We start from the raw sequence: 23,195 nt of genomic DNA, 5'->3' as shown, positions 1-23,195 counted from the left end.
CCTATCTTTACTTTTTAAAAATTATTTTTATCTTTTTTTTTTCTTTATTTGAGACAGAGTCTCACTCTGTTGCCCAGGCTGGAGTGCAGTGGCGTGATCTCAGCTCATTGCAAGCTCCACCTCCTGGGTTCACACCATTCTCCTGCCTCAGCCTCCTGAGTAGCTGAGACTATAGGCGCCCGCCACCATGCCCGGCTAATTTTTTGTATTTTTAGTAGAGATGGGGTTTCACCATGTTAGCTAGGATGGTCTGGATCTCCTGACCTCGTGATCCACCGCTTCAGCCTCCCAAAGTGCGTGAGCCACTGCGCCTGGCATTTTTATCTTTTTTTAGAGACAGGGTCTCTCTCTGTTGCCCAGGCTGGACAACAGTGGTACAATCATAGCTCACTGCAGCCTAGAGTTCCTGGGCTCAAATAATCCTCCCACCTCAGCCTCCAGAATAGCTGGGACTACCGGCACATGCTACCACGCCCAGCTAATTTTTTTATGTTTTCTTTTTTGAGACAAAGGTCTCATTCTGTGGCCCAGGCTGGAGTGCAGAGTGACACGATCACAGCTCACTGTAGCCTCGGCCTCCTGGACTCCACTGATCCTCCCACCTCAGCCTCCCAAGTAGCCTGGATTACAGGCCATCATGCCTGGCCAACTTTCGTATTTTTTGTAGAGATGGGGTTTCGCCATGTTGCCCAGGTTGGTCTCAAACTCTGGGGCTACAGGAATCCTCCTGCCTCAGCCTCCCAAAGTGCTAAGATTACAGGTATGAGCCACTGCACCTGGACTTCGGTTTTACTTCTTTAAATTTTTTCTGTGTTCATTCTATAATACATGTACTAGTATAACAGCACATGTACATAATTTTTGATTGAATGGAGGCACAAACTAAAAAGAAAAAAAAAGGTTTTAAAATAGGGGCAAGATGAAAAGCTTGAAGAGCTCCCTTTAGAATACCCCGTAAATGCTGGGCACAGTGGCTCATGCCTGTAATCCCAGCACGTTGGGAGGCTGAGGCAGGAGGATCATCTGAGGTCAGAAGTCTGAGACCAGCCTGGCCAACATGATGAAATCCTATCTCTACTAAAAACACACAAATTAGCTGGGCGTGGTGGTGCCCACCTATAATCTCAGCTGCTCAGGAGGCTGAGGCATGAGAATCGCTTGAACCCGGGAGGCAGAGGTTGCAGTGAGCCAAGACTGCAACACTGCACTCCAGCCTGGGTGACAGAGCCAGACTCTATCTCAAAAAGAAAAAATAGCCCCATAAAGATAGCTATGCCTCAGTTGCCTCTTCGCACAGGACATGGTCAACCTCCCCCTGCCACCAACCTGTCTGGGTGACCATGTTCCCAGGAGAGAGTTGCCCTACATCTACTGTCAATCCCACTCTTCCTAGGAGGAAGCTAAGGCCCAGAGAAGTCATGCCCAGGGTCACACCCCAAGGGGTGATCAGGCTGGGATACAGAAATGGGACTTCTGCTACAGATAGCCTTCTTCCTTTAATACAAGCCCATAGTGGGTGAAGCTATTGACAAACTGATGATGGGGACTCTAAGACTGGCCCCTCACCCTGGGGACAGGTCTTTATGCCTCTGATTTTCCATTTAGCTAGTAGTCTCTAGATTTTTAAGCTTTTACTATGGAAAATATCAAGCATCTACAAAAGTAGAGATAATAATCTAATTACACCCTCACCTAACAATTAACAGCTCCTCATGACCAGCCTTTCTTCCTCGCTACTCCCACTTGCTCTACTCACTGATTTTGAAGCAAAGCCCAGGTTTTATCTGTAAACATGTATACATTTTACCTGAAAATATTTAGTATTTCAATATGTATCTCTAAAAGATAAGGACTTTTTTTTTCTTTTTTTTTGAGACAAGGTCTTGCTGCCACCCAGGCTAGAGTGCAGTGGCACGATCCTAGCTCACTGCAGCCTCGACCTGCTGGGCTCAAGTGATTCTCCCGCCTCAGCCTCCTGAGGAGCTGAGGCAACAGGCATGAGCCACTGCACCCAGCTAATTTTATTTTATTTCATTTTATTTTATTTTCGTAGAGACAGAGTTTTTTTCTGATATCGGTAACAAAAGTGGAAGGAAGAAAACTAAGATCACTTATAATCCTGCCTTCCAAAGATAACTACTGTTAACTGTGTATTTTCTTTGGTGTTTTAAAATGGATATATATAGATAAAATATTTCCACCACAAATTGGATCACATATATTGTTTTGTACGCTGCTTTTTAAATTCTTTACATTCTTTGTATTTTCCCATGTCACTAAAAAGTTTTATAAAAAACAGAATGACTTCATAACATGTCATTGTACAGATGCATACACAATCCCAGTCCCCATTGGGCTCTTAAATTGTGCCTTCTCCCCGTTTTTGCCATATGAATATCCTTGTGTATAAATATATGTAACTGTATCTCCATGTCCTTAAGATAGGAGTCAAAGAAAGGGTTTTGTGTGTTTAACTTTCTGAAGTTCCCTAATAAGTCAGTTCAGACTTAATGCTTCCTAGAAGACACAGTCAGGACAATTAGGAAATCAGGCATCAGGAGACCAAAAATGGCAGGTTTCAGAAGCTACGGCTGTCAGAAAGCAAGGAGAAAAACAAGGAACTTGAGCCATCTGCTGAAGAAAAAGAACATGAAGTGGAGAGAGGAGTGAACTGTGTCCCACCCAGACGCTGGTCCCTGGGAGCAGGATCTCTCCGTGGCCAGGAGGTGCAGGGGGTCCCAGCAGTCCTACCAGCACCATCAGCGTCCTTCTGAGTTCAGACCCTTCCAGCAAACTGCTTCTTCCTTTCCACCCAGTCCGTATTCTCAGAAGCACCTCTGGCATTTTCTCCTGGAACTGCAGAGCTGGAAGCATGGCTCACAGCCATCTCGCCCCTGCCCCAGCATCCCCTACCAGAGGTGGCAGGGAACCCCTTCCCCGCTGTACCTTTGCTCAATTGCTTACAGAGAGGCACAGCTCACTCATGGCCTTGTGAGGCTCCATTCTTTGAACCTTTTTGGCAACCAGCTAATAATCCACAGGCAAATCAACCTAAAAGTGAGACCATTAATTTTTTTTTATTTATAATTTTTAAAATAGAGACAGAGTCTCACATGTTGACCAGGCTGGTCTTGAACTCCTGACCCCAAGAGATCCTCCCGCATTGACCTCCCAAAGTGGTAGGATTACACGTGTGAGCCCCCATTCCCAGCGTGGACCACTATTAAAGAGCCCACAGGTCCCATGTTGATCCTAAAGACTTAACCGAAATTCTGTTAAATACTTTGCTGAAATACATCTATTCTGGGACTAGCTTTCCATTGCACTAACCTAGTAATCCTACCCTCCCCAACATACACAAAAGAAATGAAAATTAGCTTTTTTTCCCCTTAGTAAACCCCAGTTGGTTCCTGGTCATCATATACTGTTTCCAAATGTTTACAAACTACTAAAATCATTCCAAGGAATCATTGATGTCAAACAGAGAGGAAAACTATAGCAACAGTTGAGGTGATGCCAGAGGCTGATACTGGTTGTTAGGTGTAGGAACAGAAGGGGAGGAAGAGGACAAGAATATTACTTGCTCACTATCAAACAATTATTTTTCCTGCCATTAAAGAAAAAAAAATGATATGGTATCTTTCTTCAGTTTAACAGCGGGAAAACAATTATAGTCTCATCTGTCTCATGAGCATAAATGCCAAAATTCTTTTTTTTTTTTTTTTGAGACAATGTCTCACTCTGTCGCCCAGGCTAGAGTGCAATGGTGCAATCTCAGCTCACGGCAACCTCTGCCTGTCAGGCTCAAATGATCCTCCCACCTCAGCCTCCCAAGTAGCTGGGACTACAGGCTCATGCCACCACACTCAGCTAATTTTTTTATTTTCAGTAAAGACAGGGTCTTCTGGGCTCAAGCAATCCATTCGTCTCAGCCTCCCAAAGTGCTGGGATTACAGGCATGAGCCACCACGCCTGGCCGATGCCAAAATCCTAAATAAAGATATTGGCAAATCAAATACAGTGGTGTGTAAATAGAATAATGACACTAAGTTAGTTCTACTCCGGTTATACAATAAATTTGGGATTAGCATTAAAAAATCAATCAGTGTATTTCAGAATAAAGAAAATAGGTTATTCAATCATCTCAACAGATACAAAAAGAGCATTTGGCAAAATTCAACACCTATTCATCATAAAAATTCTTAGCAAACTAAGGGGAGAAGGGAATTTCCTTGATCTGGTAAAGGAAATCTACAAAAAACCCTACCAAAATCATACAAAATGATCAACTTTGAAAGCCTTCCCAGGAGTTCCAGAACAGCCTGGGCAACATGGTGAAGACTAAGCAGGTGATTACCCAGTTGGGCTTTGAATTGTCCTTCCTCCAGGGAAGGGAGGGGTCTAGAGATTGGGTTCAATCCTGTGGTGAATGACTTAAATCAAACATGTAATGAGGTCTGGATAAAAACTCTGGACCCCAAAGCTCACTGAGCTTCCTGGTTGGTGAATACATTAACATATCTAGACAGAGTGCCCTGACACCACAGGCAGAGGGCATGAAGCTCCTCTAGGACCGACAAAGCCTCATCCTATGTGTATCCCTCAAAATAAAACTATAATCAGGTGCGGGCATGGTGGCTCAAGCCTGTGATCTCAGCATTTTGGGAGGCCAAGGTAGAGGATCACTTAAGCCCAGGAGTTTGAGGCTGCAGTGAGCTATGATTGTGCCACTGCGCTCTAGCCTGGGCAACAGAACAAGACTCTGTCTCTTGGCTGGGCATGGTGGCTCAAGTCTGTAATCCCAGCACTTCAGGAGGCTGAGGCAGGTGGATCACCTGAGGTCAAGAGTTCGAGATCAGGCCGGGCACGGTGGCTCACGCCTGTAATCCCAGCACTTTGGGAGGCTGAGGCAGGTGGATCACGAGGTCAGGAGAGCGAGACCATCTTGGCTAACACAGTGAAACCCCGTCTCTACTAAAAAACACAAAAAATTAGCTGGGCATTGTGGCGGGTGCCTGTAGTCCCAGCTACTCGGGAGGCTGAGGCAGGAGAATGGCGTGAACCCGGGAGGCGGAGCTTGCAGTGAGCCGAGATTGTGCCACTGCATTCCAGCCTGGGCAACACAGTGAGACTCCATCTCAAAAAAAAAAAAAAAAAAAAAAAAGAGTTCGAGATCAGCCTGGCCAACATGGCGAAACCTCATTTCTACTAAAAATACAAAAAAAAAAAAATTAGCTGGGTGTGGTGGTACGCGCCTGTAGTCCCAGCTACTTGGGGAGGCTGAGGCAGAAGAATTGCTTGAACCCAGGAGGCAGAGGTTGCAGCGAGCCAAGATCGTGCCACTGGACTCCAGCCTGGGCAATAGAGGGAGACTCCATCTCAAAAAAACAAACAAACAAACAAATAAAAACAAACAAAAAAACCTGTCTCTTAAAAAAACAAAACAAACAAAACAAAAACCTGTAATCCTAAGTGTAGCACTGTCCTGAGTTCTGTGAGTTGTTCTAATGAATTACTGAACCTGAGGTCATGAGAACCCCCATACACAGAGTCTGTTGGTTAGCAGTGCACAAGTGAGGCCGGACATGGTGGCTCACGCCTGTAATCCCAGCAATTTGGGAGGCCAAGGCGGGAGGATCACTTGAAGTCAGGAGTTTGAGACCAGCCTGGACAACACGGTGAAGCCCGTCTCTAAAAAAGAAAAAAAAAAAAAAAAAGGGAGAGCAAGTGGGCAGTCTTGGGGAGGGCAGAAACCTTAAACCTGTGGAATCCAGTGATGCTAACTCCAGGCAGCTGGCGCCAGAACTAAACTACAGTACACCCCAGCTGGGGTGGAGATGGAACAACCTATAACAAACTTTGGAAAATCAAATTTTAGAGCCCTCATTTATGATCACCAAATAACTAGGAATATACTCAAGAAAAGATGTGTAAGATTTCCACACAAAAATATTTTTGAAAGAAACTAAGAGGACACAAATGAAAAGGTCATCGTGTTCACAGATTGGAAGATTCACTACTATAAAATGTCAAGTCTGGCCAGGCGCGGTGGCTCCTGCCTGTAACCCCAGCACTTTGGGAGGCCAAGACGGGCAGATTACAAGGTCAAGAGATCGAGACCATCCCAGCCAACATGGTGAAACCCCGTCTCTACTAAAATACAAAAATTAGCTGGGTGTGGTGGCACGTGCCTGTAGCCCCAGCTACTCAGGAGGCTGAGGCAGGAGAATTGCTTGAACCCAGGAGGCGGAGGTTGCAGTGAGCCGAGATCACACCACTGCACTCCGGCCTGGAGACAAAGTGAGACTCCGTCTAAAAAAAAAAAAAAAATGTCAAGTCTTTGAGTTGATCTGTAGATTCAGTGCAATTCCATAAAATTCCCAGGTAAAAAGCTAAGAATAGCTAAGACAATCTTGAAGAACAAAAGGCTTAACATTACCAGATATCAAAACTTATAAAGTTACTGCAATTATGCCAACATGGTTACTGGAGCAAAGAAAAAGAAACAGATCAATTAAATCTAAGAGTCCAGAGAGACCCACATGTGCACCACAGTCCAGTGAGAAAAGGGATCTTCTCAATACAAAGTCCTGGGTATCATATGGATTTTTTTTTTTTTTTTTTTTTTGAGACGAGGTCTTGCTCTGTCACCCAGGCTGGAGGGCAGTGGCACAATCTTAGCTCACTGCAACTTCTGCCTCCCAGGCTCAAACAACCCTCCCACCTCAGCCTCCCAAGTAGCTGGGATCAAAGGTGCATGCCACCACGCCCAGCTAATTTTTGTATTTTTGGTAGAGACAGGGTTTCACCATGTTGCCCAGGCTAGTCTCAAATTCCTGAGTTCAAGTGATTCCATACAGCTTTTAAAGAAAGAATATTGGCCAGGCGCGGTGGCTCACGCCTGTAATCCCAGCATTTTGGGAGGCCGAGGCGGGCGGATCACGAGCTCAGGAGATCGAGACCATCCTGGCTAACACGGTGAAACCCCGTCTCTACTGAAAAAATGCAAAAAATTAGCCGGGCATGGTGGCAGGCGCCTATAGTCCCATCTACTCAAGAGGCTGAGGCAGGAGAATGGCGTGAAGCCAGGAGGCAGAGCTTGCAGTGAGCCAAAATCGCGCCACTGCACTCCAGCCTGGGCAACAGAGCGAGACTCCATCTCAAAAAAATAAATAAATAAAATAAATAAATCACCCAGTCTCACAAACCAGACTTAGACAGTAGATAAGGTCACATACATATTAATTAGCTTGTTGTACACCACAAATATATATGGTTTTTGTCAATTAAATGCTTAAAATAAAAAAGCTATGTAAAGGCTAAAATCCGCAGAGTGGGAGAATGTATTTGCAATACATATGTCTGATAAAGGGTTCATAAAAATTAACTGGGACAAGTGGCATGCACCTATAGTCCCAGCTACTGAGGAGGCTGAGGCAGGAGGATTACTTGAGCCCAGGAGTTCAAGACCAGCCTGGGCAACATAGTGAGACCCTCATATAAAAAAAAATTTTTAAGGCAATCCTGCTTACAATAGCTACAAAAAAAAGATACATAGAAATAATTTTTTTTTTTTTTTTGAGACAGAGTCTTGCTCTGTCGCCCAGGCTGGAGTGCAGTGGTGCCATCTCGACTCACTGCAACCTCCACCTCCCGGGTTCAAGCAATTCTCTGTCTCAGACTCCGGAGTAGCTGGGATTACAGGTGCCCGCCACCATGCCCAGCTAATTTTTTTGTATTTTTAGTAGAGACAAGGTTTCACCATCTTGGCCAGGCTGGTCTTGAACTCCTGACCTTGTGATCTGCCTGCCTCGGCCTCCAAAAGTGCTGGGATTACAGGCGTGAGCCACTGCACCTGGCCCCTAGGAATAAATTTTTAAAGGGTCCAGATATACATAACTATATAAAGAATATATAGAATAAATAATATATAAATAACTCCTAAACATGGTTAAGAAAAAGGCAGAGAGGGTAAGGCACGGTGGCTCACACCTGTAATCCCAGCACTTTGGGAGGGCAAGGTGGGCAGATCACTTGAGTTCAAGAGTTCAAGACCAGCCTGGGCAACATGGTGAAACCCCACCTCTACAAAATATACAAAAATTAGCCAGTCATGGTAGCATGTGCCTGTGATCCCAGCTACTTGGCGGGCTGAGGTGGGAGGATTTCTTGAGCCCAGGAAGTCGAGGCTTCAGTGAGCCAAGATCGCACTACTGTGCTCCAGCCTGGGTGACAAAGCAAGATCCTGTTTCAGAAAAAAAAAAAAGGCAGAGAGTTCAAGACCAGCCAAGGCAACACAGGGAAAACCCTCTCTCTACAAAAAATACACAAAGTTGGCCAGGCGTGGTGGCTCACTCCTGTAATCCCAGCACTTTGGGAGGCCAAGGCAGGTGAATCACCTGAGGTCAGGAGTTCAAGACCAGCCTGGCCAACACAGTGAAACCCCATCTCTACCAAAAATATAAAAAATTAGCCGGGTGTGGTGGCACACGCTTGTAATCCTAGCTACTCAGGAGGCTAAGGCAGGAGAATCACTTGAACCCAGGAGGTGGAGGTTGCAGTGAGCCAAGATCGTGCCACTACACTCCAGACTGAGCAATAAAGCAAGACTCTGTCTCAAAGTAGCCAGGTGTGGTGGCGCACAGCTGTGGTCCCAGCTACTCAGGAGGTTGTAAAGTGGAATATATTGCTTGAGCCTGGGAAGTTGAAGCTATAGTGAGCCATGATTGCATCACTGCATCCAGCCTACGTGACAGAGAGACTGTATCTCAAAAAAGAAATAAAAAGGCAAGGCAAACCTCCTAGAAAACAGGCAACAGGCCGGGCGCAGTGGCTCACGCCTGTAATCCCAGCACTTTGGGAGGCCGAGGCGGGCAGATCACAAGATCAAGAGATTGAGACCATCCTGGCCAACGTGGTGAAACCCTGTTTCTACTAAAAATACAAACATTAGCTGGGTGTGGTGGCGCGCTCCTGTAGTCCCAGCTACTCGGGAGGCTGAGGCAGGAGAATTGCCTGAACCCAGGAGGCGGGGGTTGCAGTGAGCTGAGATTGCGCCATTACACTCCAGCCGGGGCAACAAGAGTGAGACTCCGTCTCAAAAACAAAAAAAAAAGAAAACAGTTAAGACACAAATAAAAAGAATAGTCAAATGGACAATAAGCATATAAAAATGTGCTCAATATCATAATTCACTAGGGAAATCTAAATTAAAACCACAATGAGGTGGGGCGCAGTGGCTCACGCCTGTAATCCCAGCACTTTGGGAGGCCAAGGCAAGGGGATCACAAGGTCAGGAGTTGGAGACCAGCCTGGCCAATATGGTGAAACCCCATCTCTACTAAAAATACAAAAAAATTAGCCTGGTATGGTGGCTCATGCCTGTAATCCCAGCTACTCAGGAGGCTAAGGCAGGAGAATTGCTTAAACCCATGAGGCAGAGGTTGCAGTGAGCCGAGATGCATCACCGCACTCCAGGCTGGGCGAGAGAGCGAGACTCCATCTCAAAACCACAATGAGGGGGATGAAAAGAGGTTTATTAATGGGTACAAATATACACTTAGAAGAAATAAGACCTGGTGCTCCATAGATCAGTAGGTGATAATGGTTAACATTAGTCAATTTTACATTTCAAAATAACTAGGAGAGAATAATTCAAATGTTCCAAGCATAAAGAACACATAACTATTCAAGGTGATGAATATCCCAATTACCCTGATTTGATTACATGAATCTATCAAATTATCACATGTACTGTGAAAATAGCTATTATGTATCAATAAAAGTAAATTAAAAAAAAACACAATGGCGGCCGGGTGCAGTGGCTCACGCCTGTAATCCCAGCACTTTCGGAGGCCGAGGCAGGTGGATCATGAGGTCAGGAGATCGAGACCATCCTGATCAACACGGTGAAAGCCCGTCTCTACTAAAATATAAAAAATTAGCCAGGCGTGGTGGTGTGCGGCCTGTGGTCCCAGCTACTTGGGAGGCTGAGGCGGAGGAATCACTTGAACCCGGGAGGTGGAGGTTGTGGTGAGCTGAGATCACGCCACTGCACTCCAGCCTGGGCAACAGAGCGAGACTCCACCTCAAAAAAAAAAAAAAAAAAACCACAATGGCACAGTGGCTCTGGCCTGTAATCCCAGCACTTTAGGAGGCCGAGGAGGGAAGATGGTTTGAGGCCAGGAGTTCGAGACCAGCCTGGACAACAATGCAAGACCACATTCTCTATACAAATTTAAAAATTAGCCAGGCGTGGTGGCCCACACCTGTGGTCCCAGCTACTTGGGAGGCTGAGGTGGGAGGACTGCTTGAGCCTGGGAGGTGGGGGCTGCAGTGAGCTGTGATCATGCTACTATACTCCAGCCTGGATGACAGAGAGACAAAACAAAAACAAAAACAAAACAAAAACAAAACACAGTGAGACACAACCATGCACACACCTTAATGGCAAACATTAAACACACATACACATACTTAACAATACCAGAGTTGGTAGGGATAGGAGTGAACACTGATACAAGCACTTTGTAAAACTCTCATCTCTACCATCCCTGTGCCTTAGCAATTCCGTTCCCGGGCATATTCCTAACAGAAATGCCTTCATACGTTCAGCAAGAGACATGCACAAGAGTGTTCTTAGCAGCATCATTTGTAATAGTCCCAAACTGCAAACAATGCAATGTCCATCAACAATATTACTGGTTATATAAGGGAATATTATGACAGCAACCAAAAGGAATGAATGACAGCTACACACAGCATGGATGAAGCTCAGACCCTTAACATTCAGCAGAAGCCAGACACAAAAGTGTGTATATATGATATGATTCACTTACAAAAGTTTATAAACAGAAAAACTTTGACCCACAATGACTGAGGGAGCAGGGCAGGGACTGGGAGGGTGCATGGGGTCAGGGGTGGGCTTCCAGGGTGTGGATAATGTGTTATTACTGGAGCTCAGTGGCAGTTAGGGGTGTTTGTTTTGTGAAAAGCTATCAGGCTGTACCCTTATGATTTATGCACTTTTCTCTATATTATGCATCAACAAAAAGTTTACCTAAAAAAAATCTAAAACTGACAGTACATTTTTTAGCATTTTTTAGCCTGAACTTACTGGAATCTCCCAATCTTCTGGCTTTTTTTTTTTTTTTTTTTTTTTTTTTTTTTTTTTTTTGAGATGGAGTCTCACTCTGTCTCCCAGGCTAGAGTGCAGTGGCATGATCTCTGCTCACTGCAACTTCCACCTCCTGGGTTCAAGCGAATCTCCTGCCTCAGCCTCCCAAGTAGCTGGGAGTACAGGCACACATCACACCCAGCTAATTTTTGTATTTTTAGTAGAGATGTGGTTTTGCCATGTTGGTCAGGCTGGTCTCGAACTCCTAACCTCAGGTGATCCACTCGCCCTGGCCTCTCAAAGTGCTGGGATTACAGGCGTGAGCCACTGCACCCAGCCTGCTCTCTTTCTTAACAGCTACAATCTCACTGCAAGGAGACACTGCATAGTGCTTCAGAGCATGGCTGCTAGGGCCACACAGCCTGAGGTTGCCACTTAGCTGTCATGTGACTGGGAAAGACTGTTGGCCTCTCTAAGCCTCAGTTTCCCATCTACAGCACTTGGAGGATTAAATAATTATTTCATAAATGTTAACCACTAACACAGGCACAGGCATTTCCCCTGTTCGTTCTTTTTTTTTAACTTTTTAATTTAAAAAAAATTTTTAAACACAGGGTCTCGCTCTGCCACCCAGGCTGAAGCGCAGTGGTGCAATCATAGCTCATGTAACCTCAAACTCCTGGCCTCCAAGTGACCAAAGATCTTTGTTGCGGAGGCAAGATGGGGCTCCAAGGGAACAGAGACTCACCTGGTGGCCTCTTCCCTCCCTCCCTGAGACACCTGGGAGGCAGCAGAGGACCAGTGAAGCTGAAATGAAAACACGTGACTGGCAAATAGAGCTGTGCTCCTTCCTTCCCCTGCCCCCTCCCACAGGGCAGCCCTCACATGACGCTCCTGCAGTCGGAACATGGATGCGCTGGCGGTCAGGACGGTGGGTTTAACTCTCCCCAATTTGGAAGGGGGGAAAACTAAGTAAATGAGGTGAATTTCCTCTTTCACTTTCATTTTTCTCCCTTGAGCTCTGCCTTCTGTTACCCTGACTATATACACTGGGGTTCAGATAAGATGGCATCTGAATTAGCATATAATTATATAGAGGGTTCTTTTGAGCTCAGTTTATTTATTTATTTATTTTTAATAAGCTTTCTATATTTAATTAACTTTTTTTTTTTTTTTTTTAGATGGAGTCTTACTCTGTCACCCAGGCTGGAGTGCAGTGGCATGATCTTGGCTCACTGCAACCTCCACCTCCTGGGTTCAAGCAATTCTCCAGTCTTAGCCTCCTGAGTAGGTGGGACTACAGGCACACGCCACCGCATCCAGCTAATTTTTGTACTTTTAGTAGAGACAGCATTTCACCATGTTGGCCAGGCTGGTCTCAAACTCCTGACCTCAGGTGGTCTGTCCACCTCGACCTCCCAAAGTGCTGGGATTACAGCCATGAGCCACCGCGCCTTGCCATTTCATTTAATTTTAAATTTTTGTGGGTACATGGTAGGTGTCAGTGTATTTATAATTCCAAAAATGACACCACCCTGAACAGCAGGGCAGCCTGCCAACGGAGACAGTGTATGAGAACTGCTGTGGCCACAGGTTGGCATCAGTGTCAACTGGGGCACCTTTGGATAATAGCAATAATAATTTTAAAAATAACTAATATTTACAGCATGATTACGCAGTGCCGGGCACAGGGCTCGGCACCTTGCACGCCTTACCTCACTTAGTCCTCACCATGAGGTCTGAGGGGGACACAGTCTTCAATGTGGATGACCAGATCACTAGCAGCTGAAGAGAAAGTCACTATTTTGAGCATTTCATGAAATAAATCACACTGTACAAGCATTTACTAATTTTTGAAACTGACTTCTAACTCTTGGGAAAGTTTCATGAGAAATAGGTTTCGGTTTAAGGCAGGACTCCTGGTGACAGTCCATGTATGCATAAATGTGGGCGTTTGCGAGCCTGTGTGTGCACATGGGGGGTTAGCAGGTGGGTGTGAACATGTGTGAGTGGCCCTGCCTGTGCATCTGGGAGGTAGGAGTGTGTGTGTGTGCAAGTGTGTGAGAGCACCTGCCTGTGCCTTTGTGGGGGGTATGAGTGTGTGTGTGCGTGCATGGGTGAGAGCGAGCCTGCCTGTGCCTTTGTGGGGAGTATGAGTGTGGGTGTGTGAGCATGGGTGGGAGTGAGCCTGCCTGTGCCTATGTGCGGGTATGAGTGTGTGTGTGTGTGCGCATGTGTGTGTGAGCGCCTGCCTGTGCCTATGTGGGGGTATGAGTGTGTGTGTGTGTGTGCACGCATGTGTGTGTGAGCGCCTGCCTGTGCCTATGTGGGGGTATGAGTGTGTGTGTGTGTGTGCACGCATGTGTGTGTGAGCGCCTGCCTGTGCCTATGTGGGGGTATGAGTGTGTGTGCGCATGTGTGAGTGAGCGCCTGCCTGTACCTATGTGGGGGTATGAGTGTGTATGTGTGTGCACGCATGTGTGTGTGAGTGCCTGCCTGTGCCTTTGTGGGGGGTATGAGTGTGTGTGTGCGTGCATGGGTGAGAGCGAGCCTGCCTGTGCCTATGTGGGGGTATGAGTGTGTGTGCGCATGTGTGTGTGAGCGCCTGCCTGTGCCTACGTGGGGGGCATGAGTGTGTGTGCGCACGTGTGTGTGAGCACCTGCCTGTGCCTATGTGAGGGGTATGAGTGTGTGTGCGCACGGGTGGGAGTAGAGCCTGCCTGTGCCTATGTGGGGGTATGAGTGTGTGTGCGCGCATGGGGTGTGTAAGCGCCTGCCTGTGCCTTTGTGGGGGTATGAGTGTGTGTGTGAGCATAGGTGGGAGTAAGCCTGCCTGTGCCTATGTGGGGTATGAGTGTGGGTGTGCACATGTGTGGGAGTGGCCCTACCTGGGGTAGGGGAGGGATCCTCCTTGCACTGAGGCTCCAGGCTGCCTCCTGGCCAGAGACCAGGCGTTCCAGAGAGCCTGGGAAACCAGTCCTGCAACAACCCTACCCCTTCACAGTAAATCAGCCCTGCAGCATGGAAGCAATTCTGATCGTAACCTCTGGGGAATGCTCCAGCAACACCAAGTTTAACCCCCAGCAAAACAAACTAGCAGCTGTACACCCAGCCTCTGGGCTCACCTTCCCGCAGAGGCGCACAGCACTGCCCAGCCCTTGTCCTGGTGCAGATTCTCTGAGAGACTCCGAAAGGATGATGGGGATAAGGATTTAATTTCTTATCAGCAGGGAATCTGAAGAACCCATCTAAACTGTGTTCCAAAAAGCAAGGATTTCTTTCTTTTTTCTTTCTTTTTTTTTTTTTTGAGATGGAGTGTGGCTCTGTCGCCCAGGCTGGAGTGCAGTGGCACGATCTTGGCTCACTGTAACCTCCACCTACCGGGTTCAAGCAATTCTCCTGCCTCAGCCTCCCAAGTAGTTGGGATTACAGGCATGCACCACCACGACCGGCTAAAATTTTTTGTATTTGTCTAAAAAGTAGAGACAGGGTTTCACCATGTTGGCCAGGCTGGTCTTGAACTCCTGACCTCAGGTGATCCACCCGCCTCGGCCTCCCAAAGTACTGGGATTATAGGTGTGAACCACTGCATCCAGCCATGCTGTTTGTTATAAGGTTTTTGTTTTGTTTTGTTTTTAATAGAGACAAGTTCCAGCAATGAGATGTATCTCTTTTATGGCTACGGAAAAATAATAAACACTAATAACAAAATAAAAAAAAAAAAAAAGAAAATCATCTAACAGTGGAATAAGCACAGAAGTAAGGAGTCCAGGCTCTAGCCTACGACATAAGCCAGGGGCCCTTTATGGAGCTTCTGACCCTCTCCACGACAGTACATTCTGGTGAGAGGAGAGGGGTAAGCGAGGCGCAGGGCAGGCGTGGCAGCAGACACAGGGGCTGAGAGCTGTAGTGCAGCAGGTTGGAGCAAATGGCAGCTACCGGCCAGACAGCTGCTTCCCACCCCCTCAGCCGAGGGCCAGCCGGGTACCTCTGGAAATTCTAGCACCTTCACACATCTCAGAGTCAGTTCTGCTAAGGAGTTCCAAGAATCCCTAAGACCACAGGAAGGCTTTGAGACAGCCTGTCCATCCCCCACGGGCTGGGGAGAAGGAACCAGGAGGCTCTGCGAAAATCAGTCACCAAGGCAGCGACAGAGGCCTGGCCCAGGCTGCCTTTCCATACACACTCTCCATGGCTGCGCGGCCTTTCAGGAGCCAGCGCTCAGTGCAGGACAACCATGCTGGCCCCTGCCCTCAAGGAGACTGGAGGCCTGTAGTAGCGACTCCTTCAGAGGGGCCAGGCTTCCTTCCCCTCAAAGATGTCCTTGCTGTTCAGTCAACCAGGTTCATGTGGGAGGGGTGCAGAGAGAAGGCACCCAGGGATCCGCACCGCCAAGTCCGTCTAGAAAAGGAGGGGAAGCAGCCCGGGAGGCCTGAGCCACACCCCCAAAGCTGCTGCGAAGGACGGTGAGGCTCACCTCTCAGCCTTCGGGTCTTGTCCAAGCTCTCCCAGGGCAACACGTACCAGAGTGGAAAACGCCATGTCTACCCGCCCTAGCAAATTCCGCTGAAATGTCTTCCCAGACTTTTACTTACGAGACAGGCCTCCCCTTCCCAAGGGCCCCCTGCTGATCCTGTAGGGCCATTCCCTGATGTTGTGCTCCTGTGTATTCACCCATTTTCAAGGTTAAACATCTGCTCGGTGCTTCCCGTCCTGACCAGAGGTGAGCAGAAAAACACTGGAGCGGGATTTCCTAGTTAAAAATACGAGACCTTTGAAAAGTAAACACCAGAATAACTAAGAACCTATCAGGGCCTCGATGCACAGCATTGCCTTCCATTGCACAAACAAGAGCTCTGAGAAGAGAACTGTCAAGTGAAGACACGTGAGTGTCCTCTCAGTGCTGGCTCCTCTTTGGGAACCCGCCCATAGGCTGCATGGGGCCAGCCAGGAAGGAGGTGCAGCTGCCCACTGGCTGGCACGCACCAGGCCCCTCCACGTGCTCATGTTCCCTTCCCACAGCACTGCACTAAAGGGAAAGTGAGAAGGAGCCTGGCCACAGCTCTGTCAGCTGTCCCTGCTGGGACCTCTGCCTGCACCCGGAGTATTAACCAGCTCCTGTCACTCTCAGATACACCTGCCCCCAGGCAGCTTCTTGAGATCAAATCACCATATTGAGGCTATTACCAGGCAGGGCTGACGGAGAACCGGTGCAAAGCTGCCTTCGGGCACCACTTGTCCGAGGCTGCTCTCGCTGGGCACCCCACAGCCTAAGGTCCCATCCCACAGTCTGTGCATGGTCTTCACCCCATCTGACCCTCCAAGGAGGCTCCCGAATAGCGTGCCCCCTTGGTTCTCTTCGTCTCCATCAAGGAGTCGCCTCAGCCTGGCTTTTACACACTGACACCCCCTGCACTGTCCTTTCCTCTCTCACACATTCTTTTTTTTTTTTTTTTTGAGACAGAGTCTCACTCTGTCACCCAGGCTGGAGTGCAATGGCGCGATCTCGGCTCACTGCAACCTCCGCCTCCCGATTCAAGCTATTCTCCTGCCTCAGCCTCCGCAGTAGCTGGGATTACAGGCACCCACCACCACGCCTAATTTTTGTATTTTTAGTAGAGACGGGGTTTCACCATGTTGGTCAGGCTGGTCTTGAACTCCTGACCTCAGGTGATCCACCTGCCTCAGCCTCCCAAAGTGCTGGGATTACAAAGCCACTGTGCCCAGCAGCTCTCCATTCTGCCTGCTCTTGGCCGACTCCTTTTTTATTGAGACGGAGTCTCGCTCTGTTGCCCAGGCTGGAGTGCAGTGGCGCGATCTCGGCTCACTGCAAGCTCCACCTCCCGGGTTCACACCATTCTCCTGCCTCAGCCTCCCGAGTAGCTGGGACTACAGGCGCCCACCACCACACCCAGCTAATTTTTTGTATTTTTAGTAGAGACAGGGTTTTACCGTGTTAGCCAGGATGGTCTCGATCTCCTGACCTCATGATCCGCCCGCCTCGGCCTCCCAAAGTGCTGGGATTACAGGCGTAAGCCACCGCACCCGGCCTCTTGGCTGACTCTTAAACCTTTTAGCGTTGTCCTGGCCTTGCTCCTCAGCCTCACGTGGGCATTTTCCCCTGCATGCCTGCCTAGATGTTACTGCACACTGGTGTGGTCCAGGGCCAGCAGCATGGGCATCATCTGAGAACCTGTCAGAAATGCAGACTCTCGGGCCACACCCAGACCCACTGAGTTCAAGTCTGCATTTCAACAAAATGTCCAGGCAGTCGAGTGTGAGAAGCTCCAGTGTAAACAATGCTGGGCACGGAGAAGGAGCTCAGCAACGGGTCACACCATTATTATGACCACCACTTACCTCCCTCTGCCCTCACTAAACTGTCTCTTCGTCCCCCTTTCCCGATTGCAGTTAAATGACATAATCAACCTGAATCCCAAGCTAGAAACCTCAGACTTTCACAACTACTTCCGGGCCCTGACTCCCAGATCTCCACAAGGATCAACGAGTCTAGTTACTCTCACTTCAGAAGCATCTCACAGGCCTGCCCTCCCTCAGCCCCACGGCACCCTATCTGTGAGCTCTGTGCAGCTAGGCGTTGTTCACGTGTCTCTCTCCTTGGTAGACTGTGAGTTCTGTGAACAGGGCAGTTTTATTCATCTCTGATTCCCAACAGCCTGCACAGTGTCTGACACAGAGGCTTCAAAACGGTCACTGTTGGTTGAACAAATGGATGAATAAGCAGGTGCGGATGGGAGGGTGGGGTGTGGAGGATAAGTTACTTAAGGTGTGTCAGATAAGAGGAACCAAAAGTGAATGCAAAAATCATGCAGTGTTTTTTCTCAACTTCATAAAGTTGTTGCGGGAATAAAATTAAGTCAGTGGGAAAATCTGACACAGCCTAGATGAAAATATGGGTGTTTTGTTGTTGTTGTTGTTTCGTTTTGTTTTGTTTTTTGAGACAGAGTCTTGCTCTATCGCCCAGGCTGGAGTGCAGTGGTGCAATCTCAGCTCACTGCAACCTCCGTTCAAGCGATTCTCCTGCCTCAGCCACCCCAGTAGCTGGGATTATAGGCATGTGCCATCATACCCAGCTAATTTTTGCATTTTTTTAGTAAAGATGGGGTTTTGCCATGTTGGCCAGGCTGGTCTCGAACTCCTAGCCTCAAGTGACCCACCCAAAGAGCTCCCAAAGTGCTAGGATTACAGGCGTGAGCCACAGCCAGGAGGATTTTTTTAATGAAAATATTTCTAGCTTTTCCCCACCAATTTATACTGCACTACCTTGCTGAGAGGAGGAGTAACAGGTCCAAGGCCACCTCACAGGTCAGTGACCAGGCTGGCTGGAGTTACACCCAGGTCTATACAGGGTCTAGGTGGTTATAAGGTGGGTGGGGAAAGATAAGGTGTTTAAAGATGAGCTAAGTACCTGGGAGGGAAGGAGTGTCCCAGAGGGTGAGGCACAGCTAGAAGCTGGAAGGTGGGCTGCAAGGGGGGTGCAGAGCTCTGCCCTCTTCCTTCATTACTTAGCTTCAGGGTCTGGGAGAGTGGTGAAGGCAAAACACAAACTGGGGCAGGAGGAGCTGGAGGTGGCTTTGTTCTGAGATTCCAAGGTGGACAAACCCACCCACAACACCCAGTACTGCAAACAGTTCCAGGCGAGGTTTAAGCGGAAGGGCCAAGGTTCAAATCACAGGAGACTCTCAGGCCTGAGGGCTTGTCTCACCAACTCGATGATCTTACTCCTGTGGTCCTGCATCACCTAGCATCACGTCTTGCACGCAGCATGGGGTTCCACAGATATCTGGCACTAACTGCCGTGAGCTGGGAGACAGAAGTGCTGCAAGGCTGTACCCCTGCCTTACTCCTAGGGACACTCGGCCCCTACCTCTGCATCGATGCCCCTAGCCCGTCTCTAAGTGTGTAGGAGCACATTCATGACTCATCTAATGAGGGAAGCTGTGTAAACCCCCAGTGGCCAAAGACCACTTACTGGTGGGGAAACTGAGGCACATGGAGAGGAACCATGCATCACACTCAAGGCCCCAAACTCTACTTCTCAGTCCCTGACATGTCATCCCAGGCACTCCTCCTGTCTGTCCTGTGTGGCTGGAACTCTGAACCCGGTAAGTGCACAACACCCATTTTTCTTTGCACTCATCAGCTCCTCAGAATTCTAACACTATTAAAATGGGAATGATCCTCTGCCAAAACAGACAGGTATTCATTCACTCACTTACTCACTCAGTGCCATGGATGGAGGCCTTACTATGTGCCAAGAGCCATTCTAGGGGCTAGAGATACATTGATGAGCAAAACAAAGAGACCTGCCCTTTGAAACTTATATGCCAGTGGGAGGAGACAGACAGTAGACAACACAGTAAATCAGCAAATTACATAGATGCTAGAGAGCAATGTGTGCTACGAGAAGAGAAGAAATCGGCACAGGGCAGGGGAGATTAGGAAGTTGGGGTGGGATGGTGGGTGCAGTTTTAAACAAGGTGGCAAGAAGGCCCCACTGAGAGGTGACCTGGGAAGACAGTGAGCCATGCTGACTTCTGGAGAAGAATATTCCAGCCCAAGGAAACAACCAGGGCAAAGGCCCCATGGTGGGAGCATCCTGGTGTGTTTAAGAACAGCAAAAAGGGCCAGGCACGGTGGCTCACACCTGTAATCCCAGCACTTTGGGAGGCCGAGGTGGGCAGATCGCTTGAGGTCAGGAGTTCAAGACTAGCCTAGCTAACATGGTGAAACCCCATCTCTACTAAAAATACAAAAATCAGCCAGATGTGGTAGCATGCACCTGTAATCCCTGTTACTTGGGAGGCTGAGGCACAAGAATAGCTTGAACCTGGGAGGTGGAGGTTGCAGTGAGCCGAGATCATGCCAGAGTGAAACTCTGTCTCAAAAAAAAAAAAAAGAAAAGAAAAAAAAAAAGGCCAGGTGTGGTGGCTCACACCTGTAATCCCAGCACTTTGGGAGGCTGAGGTGGGTGGATCACCTGAGGTCAGGAGTTCGCAACCAGCCTGGCCAACATGGTGAAACCCCATCTCTACTAAAAATACAAAAAATAGCCGGGCGTGGTGGCGGGCGCCTGTAATCCCAGCTACTCGGGAGGCTGAGACAGGAGAATCGGAGGTGGAGGTTGCAGTGAGCCGAGATGGTGCCATTGCACTCCAGCCGGGGCAATGAGAGCGAAACTCCGTCTCAAAAAAAAAAAAAAGAAAGAAAGAAAGAAAGAAAAAAAGAACAGCAAAAAGGCCAGTGGGGCTTGCCAGAGAGTCATCCATTGTTCATTCATTTGTCCAACACTTACTGGAGACCCGTCTCTTTACCAAGCACTGAGTGGTGAAAACACTAAGAAGGCATGGCCTCTACCCTCAAGGAGCTTATAATGCTGGAAAGGGGAAAGAAAGAATACAAAGGCCCTAAAAGAGGATTACTTGTGGGGCAGAAGGACTCTGGCAAAGCTAGGCTCAGGACCCTCACCCAACCTGGGGTGGAGGAGGGTCCAGGACAGACCCTCAGAGAGAGATGCTGGGCTAGACAGTTGCCCCAGCTCTGACTCTGGTGCTGTTAACAATGCCAGCTGAAAGGCTGGGCAGGGTGGCTCACACCGGTAATCCCAGCACTTTGGGAGGCCAAGGCGGGTGGATCACCTGAGGTCGGGAGTTCAAGACCAGCCTGACCAACATGGCGAAACCCCGTCTCTACTAAATAAACAAAATTAGCCAGGGGTGGTGGCACATGCCCGTAACCCCAGCTACTCAGGAGGCTGAGGCAGAAGAATCGCTTTAACCCGGGAGGTAGAGGTTGCAGCGAGCCGAGATTGTGCCATTACACTCCAGCCTGGACAACAAGAGCAAAACTCCGTCTCAAAAAAAAAAAACAACAACAAACAAACAAATAAAACAATGCCAGCTGTTCTAACTTTGCTCACTTGTTTCTCTTAGCAAAAAAAAAAAAAAAAAAAAAAAAAAAAAAAAAAAAAAAAAACCATTCCCAACACCAGACTCCTAAACTCTTTTTTTTTTGAAACAGAGTCTTGCTCAGTCGCCCAAGCTGGAGTGCAGTGGTGCGATCTGGGCTCACTGCAACCTCTGCCTCCCGGGTTCAAGCGATTCTCCTGCCTCAGCCTCCTGACTAGCTGGGGCTACAGGCATGTGCCACCACGGCTGGATAATTTTTTGTATTTTTAGTAGAGACGGGGTTTCACCATGTTAGCCAGGATGGTCTCAATCTCCTGACCTCGTGATCTGTCCGCCTCGCCCTCCCAAAGTGCTGGGATTACAGGCATGAGCCACCGCGCCTGGCCAAGAAACTCTTAAATTGCAGATGTACACTAGGTGTGTGCTGTGTCCTGGGTAATCTCAGACTAAGAAGGTGGACGCCAGATTGGAAGGTCTGGAAGAGGCCACGCTGCAGGGAACCCGGTGTGCAATGAGTTAAAACTGGTTTTCCAAGACCTCTGAGAATGGGGAAGTAAGTGATGGCATAAAGCCGCAGGGCCTGTTCATTTGTCGGGGGTGGGTAGAGAGGGGGGACTATCACCATCTCCAGGGCGGCCTGCTGTGCTGGGCAGCCTGTGTGCAGTTCCCTGGGTTTACCAGCACTGCTCCAGGGCTTGGCCTCAGGCTACTGGCCTCTGTTAAGCAGAGTTTCCCGGAGTAAACTGAACCTGGGGACTCTGGCTCAGCAGAGCTCTGCTACGGCCTAAGAGATGCTAGCTCTGTTTTCCCAACTTAATGAAAGGGCACTTGACAAGACAGAGCCCAAAGACAGCCCTCTCAAGACCCAGGAGGCTCCAACCCAAGAGAGCTCAGCCCTGCTGATCAAGACTGGGAGACTGGTCAGACCAATCCATACTGGTTGGATCCAGATTCCAAATGAACTGATGGGAAGGTGCTACTGGGTGTGTCACAAACCATAGTCCCAAACACCACAGAGGCAGTGAGGAGGAAGTTGCCCTGGAGGGTCCTAATCAGGTTCCCAACTAAGCAATAGGAGAAGTCTTCAGGTCCCAAGGCTTAGGGTGGGGGTGGGGCACAGATCCTCACTGCTTTTCTGTCCCAGGCTCGGGTACCTGGGAAAACCTGATTCCTGGGTCTGCACTCCCAAAGCCGCCCCCACCCCCACCCCACCGCAGCCTCTGCCTTCACCACTAGGGGTCTGTCTCTCCAGTCTCTGCAGGGAGGCCACCTTCCCTGGGGCTCTCCCAGACTCTGGCTTACTTTACTCAAGTGGTCCTCAGCTCCGATACTAAGATTCAGTCTGTTGAACTTAGGAGGGTACCAACCCACCACCCTGGCCCTGACCCCAGCATCTTTTCAGACCAAACCTGGCAAAGCCAGCTCCTCCCTATCCCACTCCAAAGCTGTCCTCCACTCTCCGTTACAGAAACACCTGCCAGCTCACTCCCTGCTAGGATTCCGAAGTCCCTCCAAGCCCTAGGTCGGCCTGAGCAGCCTCAGCCAGTAGGAGCTCTCCTATGGGAATGAAGGCTGGGAGCATGTTTAGAAAGCAAAGTCCCCAAGTTTAGGATGAGCCCCTCACCCCCATTCCTTTAAAAAAGAGCTTCCCTTTCTGCCTCCTCACTTCCTTCAGCCTGGGAGGGTTCCACTCCATAATTGGCTTGTTTACTGCCACTTTGAGGGTTTCTGAATGGCAGAGATGGGAGGAAAATTTTGCTGGAAGAAAAGGAGTGTGTGCCTTGAGCTTTGAGGCTGATGAGTAAACCCTCCAAATGCCTCTCTAACTACCTGCGAAATGGCCAAGAACCCAGGTGAGAAAAAAACACAAGGCAGTGCAAGGCAGCTGAAGATTTCCAGCAGACCACTGGAGGGAAGCTTACGCTGGCGCCACAATTACCAAAACTTAATCTGCTTGCTTCTGCTGAATAGTCGAAAGCGCTACTTGGCATTGTTCTGAGAAGCGAGCCAATTAGAGACCTCCCAATTCTGCTTCTGTGGGCTAGCACCTCCAGTAACATGACTCCCCTGCTCAAAAACCTGTAGCTCCCAAGCTGGGAGCAAACTTAGCGTCCACCACCGGGCCCCAAACTACTCCAGCCATTGACCAC

At 48.6% G+C, this 23,195-nt stretch overlaps 1 protein-coding gene across 7 annotated transcripts in view, besides 6 other annotated features; it reads right to left on the bottom strand.

Moving 5' to 3' along the window:
• CNNM4 (cyclin and CBS domain divalent metal cation transport mediator 4) overlaps window positions 1–23,195 on the bottom strand; it is a 50,973-nt gene that overhangs the window by 25,738 nt on the left and 2,040 nt on the right. The window contains exon 2 of one of the 7 annotated variants that reach the window (XM_011510956.4): window positions 12,832–12,901. The exons of the other annotated variants lie outside the window; for them this stretch is intronic. Within the exon in view, the coding sequence (XP_011509258.1) occupies window positions 12,837–12,901 (65 nt within the window). The 3' untranslated portion in view covers window positions 12,832–12,836. The remainder of the gene's footprint in view (window positions 1–12,831; window positions 12,902–23,195) is intronic. 7 annotated transcript variants of the gene reach the window in all.
• Window positions 12,032–12,091: an enhancer, noted in NCBI's record as "active region_16229". NCBI's record gives its function as "activates an Ori minimal core promoter by ATAC-STARR-seq in GM12878 lymphoblastoid cells {active_cell/tissue: GM12878}" and the evidence as "EXISTENCE:reporter gene assay evidence [ECO:0000049][PMID:35858748]".
• Window positions 12,812–12,941: an enhancer, noted in NCBI's record as "active region_16228". NCBI's record gives its function as "activates an Ori minimal core promoter by ATAC-STARR-seq in GM12878 lymphoblastoid cells {active_cell/tissue: GM12878}" and the evidence as "EXISTENCE:reporter gene assay evidence [ECO:0000049][PMID:35858748]".
• Window positions 15,766–16,700: an enhancer, noted in NCBI's record as "H3K4me1 hESC enhancer chr2:97435174-97436108 (GRCh37/hg19 assembly coordinates)". NCBI's record gives its function as "activates a minimal SCP1, AML or CMV promoter by ChIP-STARR-seq in naive H9 embryonic stem cells {active_cell/tissue: H9 hESC(naive)}" and the evidence as "EXISTENCE:reporter gene assay evidence [ECO:0000049][PMID:30033119]".
• Window positions 21,470–21,569: an enhancer, noted in NCBI's record as "active region_16227". NCBI's record gives its function as "activates an Ori minimal core promoter by ATAC-STARR-seq in GM12878 lymphoblastoid cells {active_cell/tissue: GM12878}" and the evidence as "EXISTENCE:reporter gene assay evidence [ECO:0000049][PMID:35858748]".
• Window positions 21,890–21,939: an enhancer, noted in NCBI's record as "active region_16226". NCBI's record gives its function as "activates an Ori minimal core promoter by ATAC-STARR-seq in GM12878 lymphoblastoid cells {active_cell/tissue: GM12878}" and the evidence as "EXISTENCE:reporter gene assay evidence [ECO:0000049][PMID:35858748]".
• Window positions 22,270–22,319: a silencer, noted in NCBI's record as "silent region_11775". NCBI's record gives its function as "represses an Ori minimal core promoter by ATAC-STARR-seq in GM12878 lymphoblastoid cells {active_cell/tissue: GM12878}" and the evidence as "EXISTENCE:reporter gene assay evidence [ECO:0000049][PMID:35858748]".

The sequence above is a fragment of the Homo sapiens genome, chromosome 2, assembly GCF_000001405.40.
Source record: "Homo sapiens chromosome 2, GRCh38.p14 Primary Assembly".
Lineage (NCBI taxonomy): Eukaryota > Metazoa > Chordata > Mammalia > Primates > Hominidae > Homo > Homo sapiens.
Note: the sequence above shows the minus strand (reverse complement) of the source record. Positions and strands in the feature narration are given on the sequence as shown.